General features: G+C 41.0%; 1 annotated feature.

Annotated features, from left to right (window-relative positions):
• Positions 3427 to 3516: an enhancer, noted in NCBI's record as "active region_24733". NCBI's record gives its function as "activates an Ori minimal core promoter by ATAC-STARR-seq in GM12878 lymphoblastoid cells {active_cell/tissue: GM12878}" and the evidence as "EXISTENCE:reporter gene assay evidence [ECO:0000049][PMID:35858748]".

The following is a 14466-nucleotide window of genomic DNA, read 5'->3' as shown; positions in this document are numbered from 1 at the left end:
CCAGGATGAGGTATTTCATGTTGAGATAACAAATAACTTCAAAATCGTAATGGCTTCAGACAATAGAATTTTCTTCTTGGTCATGCTACATGAGCATTGGGCTCATAGGGATTCTACCCTATGTTGTCGTCACTCTGGTACCAGGCTGATAAAGTCTCTATCACTTTTCAGGGAAAAGGCAGGAAGATGACTTTTAAAGGTCTCTCCCCAGGAATAATACATATCCACTTCCACTTTTAAGCCATTGGCCAAAGCAAATGCATGAACCCTCCTAATGTCAAGGGAACCAGAAGTGCAATCCTACCATTTACCTAGAAGGAGAAACCGAAATATCACTGAACAGCACAGAAACTGTGGCCCAGAGATGTTAAGTACTTGGTTGAAAGTTATCGATATCTTGGTTATCAATCAAGTATCTTGGTTGAAAGCCTAGATATTAAGTAGCAAAACTGGCTTTCGAGGTTATGTCTTGTTGGCACTGAGGCCCTGGTTTTTTATAAGCTATGCTGTCCCTTGAGATGGAAAACAGAGTAGAACAATTTAGACCCATCAATAACAAGAGTTAAAGAGAGATCAAGTGTATTGAGTCAAGAGGAACACATATGTATTGAGGAAAGAGGAACATTTATTATGGAGATAGGTAAACAAACATCATATACACACCCACAAAAAGAGGAAACCCAGGAAAGACCCTAGATTTTTTGTTTGTTTTGCCTTTAAAAGTTACATCAGGGGGCCGGGCGCAGTGACTCACACCTGTAATCCCAGCACTTTGGGAGGCCGAGGTGGGTGGATTATGAGGTCAAGAGATTGAGACAATCCTGGCCAACATGGTGAAACCCCGTCTCGACTAAAAATACAGAAATTAGCCAGGCATGGTGGTGCATACCTGTAGTCTCAGCTACTCAGGAGGCTGAGGGAGGAGAATGGCGTGAACCCGGGAGGTGGAGATTGCAGTGAGCCGAGATCACACCACTGCACTTCAGCCTGGCAACAGAGTGAGACTCCGTCTCAAAAAAAAAAAAAAAAAAAAGTTAACATCAGGGAACCTTAGTGTGTTTGTGATTCCTAAAAACTTAGCCCAACTGGTGTACTCTTTTAATTTATGCTCAGATACCAAGGAACTCTCCTCAGTGTGGGGAGAGGGAGGTCTCTGTTGAAAATTTGCTACTTCCACACAATTCTTCCCCACCTTCCTTTGGAATTATTTCCAAATGTAATTTTTTTTATTTTATTATTATTATACTTTAAGTTTTAGGGTACATGTGCACAATGTGCAGGTTACTTACATATGTATACATGTGCCATGCTGGTGTGTTGCACCCATTAACTCGCCATTTCCAAATGTAATTACACACAACCTCCCACTGCCAGGAAAATATAATTTCCAAAATCCCAATTTCTCAGCTTTTTACCCTCCAGTACAGAGACACTGAAATTTTTTGAGTGCTCATATGGGCAACTAGTATCCCCAGTCGCAAAAAAAAAGCTTGATACAAGGAGTCAGAAGAACATATTCAACCCCTGCAGTCCTGCGAGGGAGAGAGGAAAACCAACTTACACATATATTTGAAGGCAGATGCCTGATGGAACCATTAGAGGGGTATCTAGGCCTCAAGTTTGGCTATGGGAACTCTAACCATTCTTTGAAGCATTTTGTTGAAGCAGAATTAAACAACTCAGAAAATTTTCCTGAACTGCCCTTCTTATTATCCTCCACAGTCCTGACCCCACCAGCCTTTTTTTTTTTTTTTTTTTTTGAGACAGGGTTTCACTCTTGTCGCCCAGGATGGAGTGCAATGACATGATCTCAGCTCACTGCAATCTCTGCCTCCTGGGTTCAACCAATTGTCCTGCCTCAGCCTTTGAGTAGCTGGGATTACAGGTGCGCACCACCATGCCTGCATAATTTCTATATTTTTTAGTAGAGACGGGGTTTCACCAAGTTGGCCATTCTGGTCTCAAACTCCTGACCTCAGGTGATCCACCCACCTTGGCCTCCCAAAGTGCTGGGAATATAGGCGTGAGCCATCACACATGGCCCCCCACCAGTCTTTTGACAGGAAAATTGACGGCTCTCCCTGTTCATCTAGTCATCCATTCAACAATATATTTTTGGCCGGGTGTGGTGGTTCACACCTGTAATCCCAGCACTTTGGGAGGCCAAGGCAGGTGGATCACAAGGTCAGGAGGTTGAGACCATCCTGGCTAACACGGTGAAACCCCGTCTCTACTAAAAAAATGTTTAAAAAATTAGCCAGGCATGGTGGCGGCCGCCTATAGTCCCAGCTACTCAGGAGGCTGAGGCAGGAGAATGGTGTGAACCCAGGAGGCGGAGCTTGCAGTAAGGCGAGATCGCACCACTGCACTCCAGCCTGGGCGACAGAGTGAGACTCTGTCTCAAAAAACAACAACTACAATATATTTTTTAGTTATTTCTATGCTTCGAGCACTGTGATAGGTACTAGGGATAAAACTTAGTAAATAAAACAGTCATACCCTGATCCCTCACTCCTAAAGTAGTTTATTGTCCATATTTTATAGTGAGGATCAGCTTCCCTCACTGTCACCTTAGAGATCTCCAGAGCCTATACCACTAATGCACATGGCAAGCCCTTAATAAATGTTTGCTGAATGAATGAGCAAATGAAGTTCAATATAGGTGCTCGCATGTGAAAACATTTAACTTTGATAAGCAGATTGAAGAAACATAACTTTTTAAGCATTTTTTTTCTAAATTAGAGATAAGGTCTTGCTCTGTCACCCAGGACGGAGTGCAGTGGTACCATCATAACTCACTGCAGCTTCTAACTCCTGGACTTAAGGAATCCTGCTGCCTCAGCCTCCTGAGTAGCTAGGCTATAGGCACATACCACCACACTCAACTAATTTAAAAAAAAAATTTGTAGAGATGGGGGTCTCACTATGTTGGCCAGGCTTGTCTCAAACTCTTGGCTTCAAGGGATCCTCCTGCCTTGACTTCCTGAAGTGCTGGGATTACAGATGTAAGCCACTGAGACTTAAGTGACGTTTTTTAAAAAAAGGGACCCTAATGCACAAAAATCCTGTTTATGTCACTCCCAATTCACTTCCAATCTTGGTCAAGTTATATTTTATTTCATGTTTCTGCCTTTTCCCCACTTAAGATTAGATTTCACAGAGTTTCTGCATCTCAATTTTGAAAGATAAATTCTAAGTAATCAGAAATACACTGTCAACTTCAAGAGCTAAAACAGTAACAACAAAACTGATCTGGGATGAAAGTTAATCAGGTAGACTCGGCTTTCACAAATCTAAACTTGGCAGTAATTTAACTTAAGCCTGGTTATTTGAAGGGAAGATAAGTGAATAAGCAATTTCATCCTACTTAAGATAAAAGACATGAACACAAGTTGGAAGATGTATGTTCTGCCTTTTTAAGGGTATAATAAACATCTATTGTTTTTGTCTGCCCAGAGTCCCTCCTCCCTTCTTCTAGCAGCACTGCCCCAATTTTACTTTGGGGAACTATTCCTCTTCCCTACTGAATACAGTTTCGAGGGCATGACTGTCAACCAAGGTCTCTGTACTAGGCATGTGACCAAATTAGGCCATACAGTGATTAAATTAGGCCATGCAGGTACTTTCCTCTTGCAAGTCGAGTTTAAGGGGATTAACCCAAAGACAGAAACAGTTGGAGATCATTCATCCCTATAGACGTCAGTTCATCTGTTTCATCCTGCTCTCTTGATCTTCACAGCTACTGTAGCTCCTGTTTTTTCTGAAGACTTAACTTTTTAGCTTTCCTTCAGATTCTTTGACTACCACCCATAAGTCTTCCAATGCATTCCTCTTTTGCTTGTTAAATTTTAAAAGTCATAGAACAGATTTATGTAGAGCACCAACATTATTGATAGTGAGCCATGCACCATTTGATGAAAGTAGAGGGGAATGTGCTATGGTCTGAATGTTTGTGTCCCCCTAGATTTTCATGTTGGAACATAACCCCCAATCTGATAGATGTGGAGCCTTTGAAGGTGATTAAGTCATCTGGACAGAGTCCTAATTAATGGTATTAGTGCCCTTCTAAAAGAGGCCCAAGGCCGGGCTCAGTGACTCACTCCTATAATCCCAGCACTTTGGGAGGCTCAGGTGGGTGGATCACCTGAGGTCAGGAGTTCGAGACCAGCCTGGCCAAAATGGTGAAACCCTGTCTCTACTAAAAATACGAAAATTAGCTGGGCATGGTGGTGAGCGCCTGTAATCCCAGCTACTTGGGAGGCTGAGGCAGGAGAATCGCTTGAACCCAGGAAGTGGAGGTTGCAGTGAGCTGAGATCACACCATTGCACTCCAGCTTAGGCAACAAGAGTGAGATTCTGTCTCAAAAAAATAATAAAAAATATAAAAATAAAAGAGGCCCAAGGGAGCTTGTTGAGCCCTTCCACCAACTGAGCAAGCAATAAGAAGGCCTCATCTATGAACCAGGGAATAGCTCCTCACTAGATACCAAATCTGCAGGTGCTTTGGTCTTGGTCTTCCCAGCCTCTAGAACTGTGAGCAATAAATTTTTGCTCTTTGTATGCCACCAAGTCTAAGATAGTTTGTTATAGATGCTCAAATGGACTAAGACAGCATGCTCTTTAAAAAGTTAGCTTCTTTTTCTGGTCTTTAAAGGAACTCATTTCTAGGCCTTTCTTCTAGGCCTTTGCAATTTGGTAACTTTGCTGGAATGAAACATTTTACACATGAAATTTTCCACCATTTTTCATTCTTGACCTTCTTACCAAAATAGTGTATATCATCTCAGTGATTCCAAACTAAAAGTAGCATAATTTTAGGAGCAAGACGGAAAGGAAATAGGCATAGGTTTATTTTAAATTGTTTAAAAATGTTATTTATTCATTTCCACCTTAGAATAGGCAGAGATTTTTTTAGGACACAAGATGCACTGACCATAAAAGAAAAAAAATTGAAATCAGACTTTATTAAAATTTAAAATTTCTGCTCTTCAAAAGACACCATTGAGAAAAAGGCAAAAGTCAGGCTATAGATTTGGAGAAAATATTTGTAATATGTGATAAATACAAAGGACTTATTTAGAGAATATATAAGGAGCACCTGCAAGTCAATAATAAAAAGGCAACCCATTAAAATGGCAAAAGACTTAAAGAGATATCTCAAAAAGATACATGAAGAACCAGTAAGCTCCTGAGACATCATTAGTAATTAGGGAATTGTACAATAAAAACTAATGAAATGCCACTTTATACCTACTAGAATGACTAAAATAAAATGAATGATAATATCAAATGGTAAGTAGGTAGTGAGGCAACTAGTATTCTCATTGCTGTTGGGAGCATAAAATTTTATAACCAGTTTGTCAGTTAAAGTTAAACATATACTTCTCCTGTGACCCAGAAATTCCACTCTGAGAAATGAAAAAAATATATTCATAAAAAGACTTATATAAGAATGTTGATAATAGCTTTAGTCACAGTAGTCAAAACCTGTAAACAACTTAAATGTTCATAAACAAGAGAATGGATAAACAAATAATGATATATTTATGCAATAAAATATTACTTATCAATTAAAAAGACAAACTAGGCCAGGCGCAGTGGCTCACGCCTGTAATCCCAACACTTTGGGAGGCCGAGGCAGGCAGATCACCTGAGGTCGGGAGTTCGAGACCAGCCTGACCAACGTGGAGAAACCCTTTCTCTATTAAAATTACAAAATTAGTTTCTGTATTGGGGAGAGGGGTTGGAAACACATAATATTTATGTTCAAGGAAGTAACAAAAGACTTGTATTGATACTGAGACCACAAAGGGCTGCATGGTACAAGGCCAGGCTGGGGAGGTAAGCAGAGATCAAACCATACAGGGCTTTTCAGTGGTCATAAAAGCCCACCACTCAGCTCTTCTGCCACAGGGGAGCACAGGCAACTGACAGTCTGAGCCACTGCTCTCCTGAATCCGCCACTGTGTTCGCACCAAGGCCATGCTTCCCCTGGGCTGCTCCCAGCCAATAACGAGCATGCACTGGTAGGGAGGGTGAGGGAAGGCAACTGATATAAGACAAGAGACTCCTTTAACAGGCAATGTTGCCTCAAAGACCCCTGCTGACCTGGCCAAAACTTTCTCAGAACTTTGCTGCCTCTTCCTACCCAATCTGAGCCTCTTCCTACCCAAATCCTCCTTCCTGCCCCGTCTCTTCCACAGGTGTTAGACCTGCCTCACAGTCTGAAAGTTCTTCTGCATTCTCTTTCTCCTGTTTATTTTTATAGACATCCCCCCTAATAAACATCTTTCAGGTCTAATCCCATCTTAGCATCTGCTTCTTGGAGAACTTGAATTAACACAGCTTTGTTAAATAAGATAAATTGCAATTAGGGAATTACCTTTATACCAAGAGTAATAGGAAGTTATTGGAGTATTATGAACTCTGACTGACATGATCAGATTTATGTTTTGAGGGAAAAAAAAAAACCTTCTTGGCAGCAGTGTAGGGAAAAGACTGGATGTAGGCAAGAGCAGATGCAGGGAGACCAGTTAAGTGCCTTTGGCAGTGGTCTAGAAGAGATGACAATAGTTGGATTAGGATGGTGGGGTTTTTTTTTATTTTTTATTTTTTTGAGATGGAGTCTCACTCTGTTGCCCAGGCTGGAGTACAGTGGCATGATCTCGGCTCACTGCAGCCTCTGCCTCCCAAGTTCAAGCGATTCTCCTGCCTCAGCCTCCTGAGTAGCTGGGATTACAGGCATGTGCCACCACTCCCAGCTAATTTTTGTATTTTAGTAGAGATGGGGTTTCACCATGTTGAACAGGCTGGTCTTGAACTCCTGACCTCAGGTGATCTGCCCACTTCGGCCTCCCAAAGTGCTGGAATTACAGCCATGAGCCACCTCGCCCAGCCAGGATGGTGGTTATAGAGATAGTAAGAAGTAGGTGAATTTGAGAAATTTAACAAGATAAAATCAACAAGTCTTGGTAATGGACAATAGAGGCAGTAAGGGAGAAGGAGGTATCAAGACTGACTCTGAAGTTTCTGCCTATGCAGCTTAGGTGGATGGTGCCATTCACTGAGCAGGGCAACACCCAGAGGTATGTTCTAGGGTGATCACAAGTCTGAAGTGCCTTTGAAATATACAAATAGAGCCCGACACAGTGGCTCAAGCCTGTAATCTCAGCACTTTGGGAGGCCAAGGCAGGTGGATTGCTTGAGTCCAGGAGTTTGAGACCAGCCTGGCCAATATGGCAAAACCCCATCTCTACTAAAAATACAAAAAATTAGCCGGGTATGGTGGCGTGCACCTATAGTCCCAGCTACTCAGGAGGCTGAGGTAGGAGAATCACCTGAGCCCAGGAAGTCGAGGCTGCAGTGAACCAAGATCGCATCACTGCACTCCAGCGTGGGCAACTGAAGTGAGACCCTGTCTTCAAAAAAAAAAAAAAAAAAAAAGCTGTCAGGCAGACAGTTGGATATCTGAGTCTGGAGCTCAGAGAAGAGGTCTGGGCTGGAAGTATACATTAGTGATTGAAAGTATAAACATGGCTGGGCACGGTGGCTCACACCTGTAATCCTAGTACTTTGGGAGGCCAAGGCGGGCAGATCACCTGAGGTCAGGGGTTCAAGACCAGCCTGGCCAACATGGAGAAACCCTGTCTCTACTAAAAATATAAAAATTAGCCGGGCATGGTGACACGGGCTTGTAATACCAGCTACTCGGGAGGGTGAGGAAGGAGAATCGCTTGAACCTGGGAGGCGGAGGTTGCAGTGAGCCAAGATCACACCATTGCACTCCAGCCTGGGGGACAAGAGCAAGACTTCTTCTCAAAAACAAAAAAAAAGGAAAGAAAGTATAACATGGTAATACATACATATATTTTTTTGAGATGGAGTCTCACTCTGTTACCAGGCCAGGCTGGAGTACAGTGGCGCAATCTTGGCTCCCTACAACCTCCGGCTCCCAGGTTCAAGTGATTTTCCTGCCTTACCCTCCCGAGTAGCTGGGACTATAGGCATGTGCCACCACACCTGGCTAATTTTTGTATTTTTAGTAGAGACGGGGTTTCACTATGTTGCCCAGGATGGTCTCGATCTCTTGACCTCGTGATCTGCCATCCTTGGCCTCCCAAAGTGCTGGGATTACAGGCGTGAGCTACAGCACCTGGCCTAAACATGGTAATATATTATCACACTAAAGAAGCTATGGAAGTAGAATAAATCACATGAGAAGGAATAACTGAGTAAAAACAGAAGATGGCCTTGGATTGAGCTTTGAGGAGCATCAATATTTATTATTAATATAAGCCAAGCATGATGAACCTGCACAGGTGTCTGAAAAGGAGCCCTCAGAGAGACAGGTGAAAATCTTTCATATTAAAATTTGTATCATTTATTTACTATTACATAACAAACCACTTAGTAGCTTAAAACTACAACTTAGGCCAGGCTTGGGAGGTAAGCAGAGATCAACCTTAGTAGCTTAAAACAATGACTATTTTACTGCTCAGAATTCCATAGGTCAACAATTATGGCTGGTCTTAGCTAGAAATTCGGTTGTCTCACCTGAAGTCACTTATGTGATTTTAATTTTCTGGTGACTCAACTGGGCTGGCTGGTTCCTGATGGCCTCCAAGCCTGGATGATTGGAATGACTGGCACAGCCAGGCCCCTCTCTTCATTTTGTTTTCTCTCTCCCCAAGGAGACTAGCCTAAGCTTGCTCACACAGCAAAAGCACCATTACAAAAGACAAGGCCAGGCTCAGTAGCTCATGCCTGTAATCCCAGCACTTTGGGAGGCTGAGGCAGGTGGATCACCTGAGGTCGGGGGTTTGAGACCAACATGGAGAAACCCCACCTCCACTAAAAATACAAAATTAGCTGGGCATGATGGCACATGCCTGTAATCCTAGCAATTCAGGAGGCTGAGGCAGGAGAATCACTTGAACCTGGAAGGCAGAGGTTGCAGTGAGCCGAGATCACACCTCCATTGCACTCAAGCCTGGGCAACAAGAGCAAAACTCCATCTGAAAAAAAAAAAAAAAAGACAAAGCCCAATGCACTAAAGGTCATATTGGCTAATATCCTATTGACCAAAGCAAGTCACATGTCCAAGCTCAGAGTAAACTTGGGAGGCAATGATATAAAAGCAGGGAGCATGGGACAAGTGATTCCTTGGGAGTCATGAAAAGTAAGAAACCACCATGGCAATTATGAATCTACAATGATTTGTTTCCCATCAAGTCTAATCTAAATTACTTTTCACCATGGAATACTACTCAGTGTTCTATCAAGCTAGTTCTTTCCTTATGCTTCATTCTTGCTGTGACCTCTACTTGAGATTCCTTCTCCATGTCCCAGCCTTCTCCATCTGGTGAATTTTACCCATTTTTTAAAGCTCACCTCATCTTCCACATTTTTGTTCATTTTACTTTGTCATCCTAGAACACCACCCCCTACTCTGCTCCCCAGTCCTAAGGCTATGCCAACATCTGACCGATTCTAATCTCAACTTCCCCATGAAGACTTCTGAAATGGCTCCAGCCTTCATGGATCTGCCTTGTCTATATAATGATCTAATAATTATACCAAACAATTTTGAACTTAATTATGTGTACTTTGTACTTTATGTAATTATGTATATTTTGTATTGTTGGCTTTAAATATACCTCTTTTCTACTAATGGATTGCAAATGTCTTGATGAAAAAAACTGTGTCCAATACTTCTTTAACATAATGGCATATAAAGATGAACAGTGTTCTCAAGAATGTTACTGTCCAACAGGGGAGACCTGCCCCACCCCCAAGTAAACAGGTGATTTTAATAGAGTACAGGTGCTATTTCAAGCATAAGTGCAGGATGCTGTGGGAAAACGGTGAACAGGTTCTAAATTTGTTGCTGTTGCTAGTATCTTTGGAGTTTTTTGGTTTGTTTTTATTTCTTAGTGGGGCAGGATGTGGTCAGGGAAGCTGATCTCTAACCTGAAAGTCCAATGATGGGTTAGCCAAAGGAGGGCGGGGCATGGAGAAGGAGTTTCAGTCTGAGGTTTTACTAAGAATGTAGGTAAAGAGGAAAGAGATATCTCGGTTCTTTAAAAACTGCAAGTACAGGACTTAAAAGCTGGGGAATAGTGAGAGAAGAGCAGTAGTGAGATTGGATGCTAAGGGCTTCAACCCTGGAAACTCCGTCCATGTTTGATATGGTCCGAATTGTCTCTGCAAGACTCATGTTGAAACCTAATCCCCATTGAAGTGATATAGAGTTGGGCCCTTGGGACAGTAATTAAGTCACGAGGGCTCCACCCTTATCAATAGGATAAGGGTAGTAATAAAATTGGCCTAAGGGAGCAGAGAGCCTCTTCGACCATATGAGGACACAGAGAAGGCACCATCTTTGAGGAACAGGCCCTTACTGGACACCGAATCAGCTGATGCCTTGATCTTAGACTTTCCAGCTTCCAGAACTATGAGAAATAAATTTTTATTGTTTATAAATTACCCAGTATAAGGTATTTTTGTTACAGCAGCCCAAATGGAGTAAGACAATGCTTTTTTGTGTTATTCATGATGCTATTTTGGAGGTAAGTATTGGCCCAGTGTCAGTAGGGCATTGAAGGAACCTCCTAATCCAAGGTCGGGATACATGAGAGGGGGTCCTCGTGGTCACGTTTTCTCAACTGCCAGACTCCTGTGCTTTATCCTGTCATTTCTGTACAATACTGAAGGAAAGGCCTGCAGAAAGACTTTAGCTCTAGCCTGTACCTTGAAAAATTAATGAAGACCTCTGTGAAAACAAGAGGTCAGGGTTACTGCTATCTCTTGCCTCAACGTGTAAGATTGTGTGAAATCATGTAGTTGGGTAACAATGATTGCAATAGGCCCAATCTCAGAGAGTGATAAAAAAAAATCCTGGGCCTTGTTCCTACACAGTAGCCACACTATAACACTGTGGTTGGTGAAAAGTAATTTTATAAGCAAGTCACCAAACAAATACTTCTCTCTATGTGATTTTTAAATAAAAATAGCTACGATCCCCAATCAACGTACAATACTAATTAGTCCCTTCTCAAATCTTATAAATGGTTAGTCAACCTCATTTTAGAAAAGGCCAGCTGTTTTGCAAAAAACTCATGAGAAGAAAAAGACAAAAATAAGTTTACTCCACCAAGCTGATTTAATGTGGGCTCCCAGGGAGATGGCAAGCATTTCAGTGATGTATCTAACACAGAATTTTCTTTAGACATTTCTGAAGCTCTAATAAGCCAGATCCTGCTGTGGAAGTAAATTAATCCCAAATACAAGTTAGGCATTTCGCAAAGTGCATTAACTCTTTCAAGTCTCCTGATCACAAAATATCCTGGAATGCCCATTAATAGTGAGATCGAATTGAATAGAGGGCAAGTGAAACATCCCTAGTTACAGTGGTCATTTGGGAAAATCTAAATGTGCTCCCAAACGACCTACTGTGTTTACATTTGAATCATTTGGAGGTGAAAGAAAATAGTTTATTTATCTGTCAGGGATCCTCATTCTGTTTCCAGTCTGAGTTCTCTCTTTCTATTAGTAATTTAGCAAATTATACAATAGCTGAACATTTACCTTGCCTCCCCGCTAAGAAATTATCAGGCATTTTCAACACTGAGGCCATATAACAAAAAATAAATTCATAAAGGTAATTTCCTGTGAGGTTAGCTTTAGTATTTTTTCACCTTTCATGTTCTAATAATAATTTTGTTTATATACAATGGTCGTAGTAACTAAGACTCAAATGGGTCAGTGACTCATCTATGTGTGTTTGTAAAAAAAAAGGGAAAGAGGCAGAAAAGTTGAATATGATTAAGGTTCATTTAATTTCAGTAATATTTCAACTAGAAAGGCGTTCAGTTAGGAATCTGTATGTAGTTATATAAAATCACAAAAAAAGGGCCGGGCGCGGTGGTTCATGCCTGTAATCCCAGCACTTTGGGAGGCTGTGGCGGGTGGATCACCTGAGGTCAGGAGTTTGAGACCAGCCTGGCCAACATGGTGAAACCTCATCTCTACTGAAAATATAAAAATTAGCCGGGCATAGTGGTGCACGCCTGTAATCCCAGCTACTTGGAGGCTGAGGCAGGAGAATTGCTTGAACCTGGGAGGCGGAGGTTGCAGTGGCCAAGATCGCACCACTGCACTCCAGCCTGGGTGACAGAGCGAGACTCTGTCTGAAAAATAAAATAAAATAAAATCACAAAAAAGAAACAACCTAAATGTTCAATAATAGGTAAGAGGAAAAATCACGTATGACAGAGCCCCATAATGGACTATTGTATAAATATTAAAGTGATATTTATGAAGAATTTATATGTCATGTAACTATATGATTACAATTACATTCTAATTAACTGGCAGAGTAAACCTCTGGAAGAAAACATATCAAAATGGTAACAGTAGTAGACTTTGAGAGAAGAACCTTTAATATTTTTCTCTACATAACAAAAATTTCAAAGTTTCAACAAAAAGAATATGGCCAGTTTTATAAATGGAAAAATTCTACTTTTAAAAAAAACACAAAAATCCATCTTAAAAATTTATATTTTACTAAAACCAAACTTAGTGACTGTAGTACCTATAGTGCTTTTACAGTTTACGTGGCACTTTTACATTTGTTCTCTACTGTCTATTGTAATTGAGACCTTAGCACACTACTTATTTCATATCATGTGAAGCTAATTGTATTCCACTTTTCACAACATGATATTAAATCTGGCAAATGTTTTAGTAGACATAGGATAATTCCCAAATGTAATTTTCTTTATGATTGCTCATAAAATACACATTATAGATGTAGTAATAAAAAAGCTTATGGAAATCATTATATTGAAGTATTTTAAAACCCTCAAAGTGCTACATTCCCTCCTCACTGATTCCTCACATAACATTTTAAACCTTTAAAACTCTCCCTCAGGCCAACACACAGAATTCCCCCACTCTCCCACTTGCTCGCCTCCAACTTTCCAGAAAAGGAAAAAAATAAGCTGAGTATATCAGGGCTGGACTCCCTCAACATCCCATCCTCACACTCGGGTTCAACTACATAATTTGCAGGGCTCAATGGAAAATGAAAATTCAGGGCCCCTTGTTTGAAAGAGCAAGAGAAACTGCAGTTGAAAGTAATAAAATACTCCATCTCAAAAAAAAAGTAATAAAATATGAAAATTTTTTTCCCTTAAAAATATTTCATTACATACAAAATAATATTTTGGGTGTCAATTTTATATAATATAATGAATAACAATATTTTATTTTATTTTTTTCTTTCTTTCTTTTTTTTTTTTTGAGACGGGGTCTCGCTCTGTCGCCCAGCTGGAGTGCAGTGGCGCGATCTCGGCTCACTGCAAGCTCCGCCTCCCCAGTCCACGCCCTTCTCCTGCCTCAGCCTCCCGAGTAGCTGGAACTACAGGCGCCTGCCACCACGCCCGGCTAATTTTTTTGTATTTTTAGTAGAGATGGGGTTTCACCATGTTAGCCAGGATGGTCTTGATCTCCTGACCTCATGATCCGCCCGCCTCGGCCTCCCAAAGTGCTGGGATTACAAGCATGAGCCACCGCGCCCGGCCTAACAATATTTTATTAATGTGACATTTTAATCACATGATTTTTCTGGTTCACTTTTCTCCAAATTTATTAGATTGTCAAAGTTTTCATTTTTAGCAATTTCATTTTCAATGCATATAATTGAAAGCAATGTCAATTATTTTTAAATGAAAGATGGCAAGTAATTTTTGATAATTCTTAATTCTGAGAAGAATGTGTTGATGCAATTGTTACTGGTGCTGTTAAGTTAATGTTTTTAAGCTACAACAACATTGAGATACATATCTGATAAATTTTGAAATATAAATTTTAGTACATCTAGAGCTGATGATTCTCAGGGAACAATTTTTCCAAAAAGATTTAACACTTCACATACATCAGTTTTGTGTTAAGTATGATTTTTATTTTAAAAGTAAATTTCTACAATGATAACTTAATGGATATTTGCTTGGCAGTGTTGCAGTAGTTAAAAACCAGAGATTCTGAACTCTGAAAGATTCTAATAAGTCAATGATATGCTTAATTGCAATGCTCATGTCTAACACTTCTATTTTACAACAATTTATTTACAAAGTTTGCCTCTTGAGCCCCAAAATTTCCTCTCCCAGGGTTCATGCTGGAAAGTTAATATTTGTGCAGATGCCACAGAGTTGGGATCCTGGGACAGATATAAAGTGGCCTCCCTCTGCAGATCCTGGGGCTGCCTCATGCTGAGCCCTGACTCTCTCCCAGGGCTGGGGCCATGGCCACAACCACATTGCTTTTGCTGCTCCTCCCACCATCACACCTGCCAATCTGGACCCAACTCTCAGCCCCTAACACCCCTTCAGGGTTCTGTGGCTCCTCAGAATGCTTCAGTTGCATGCATGTATGCCAGGCAGCCAGGCCTAAACTTGAGTGTATGTT

The sequence above is a fragment of the Homo sapiens genome, chromosome 6, assembly GCF_000001405.40.
Source record: "Homo sapiens chromosome 6, GRCh38.p14 Primary Assembly".
Lineage (NCBI taxonomy): Eukaryota > Metazoa > Chordata > Mammalia > Primates > Hominidae > Homo > Homo sapiens.
This window is presented reverse-complemented; position numbering and strand designations above follow the sequence as displayed.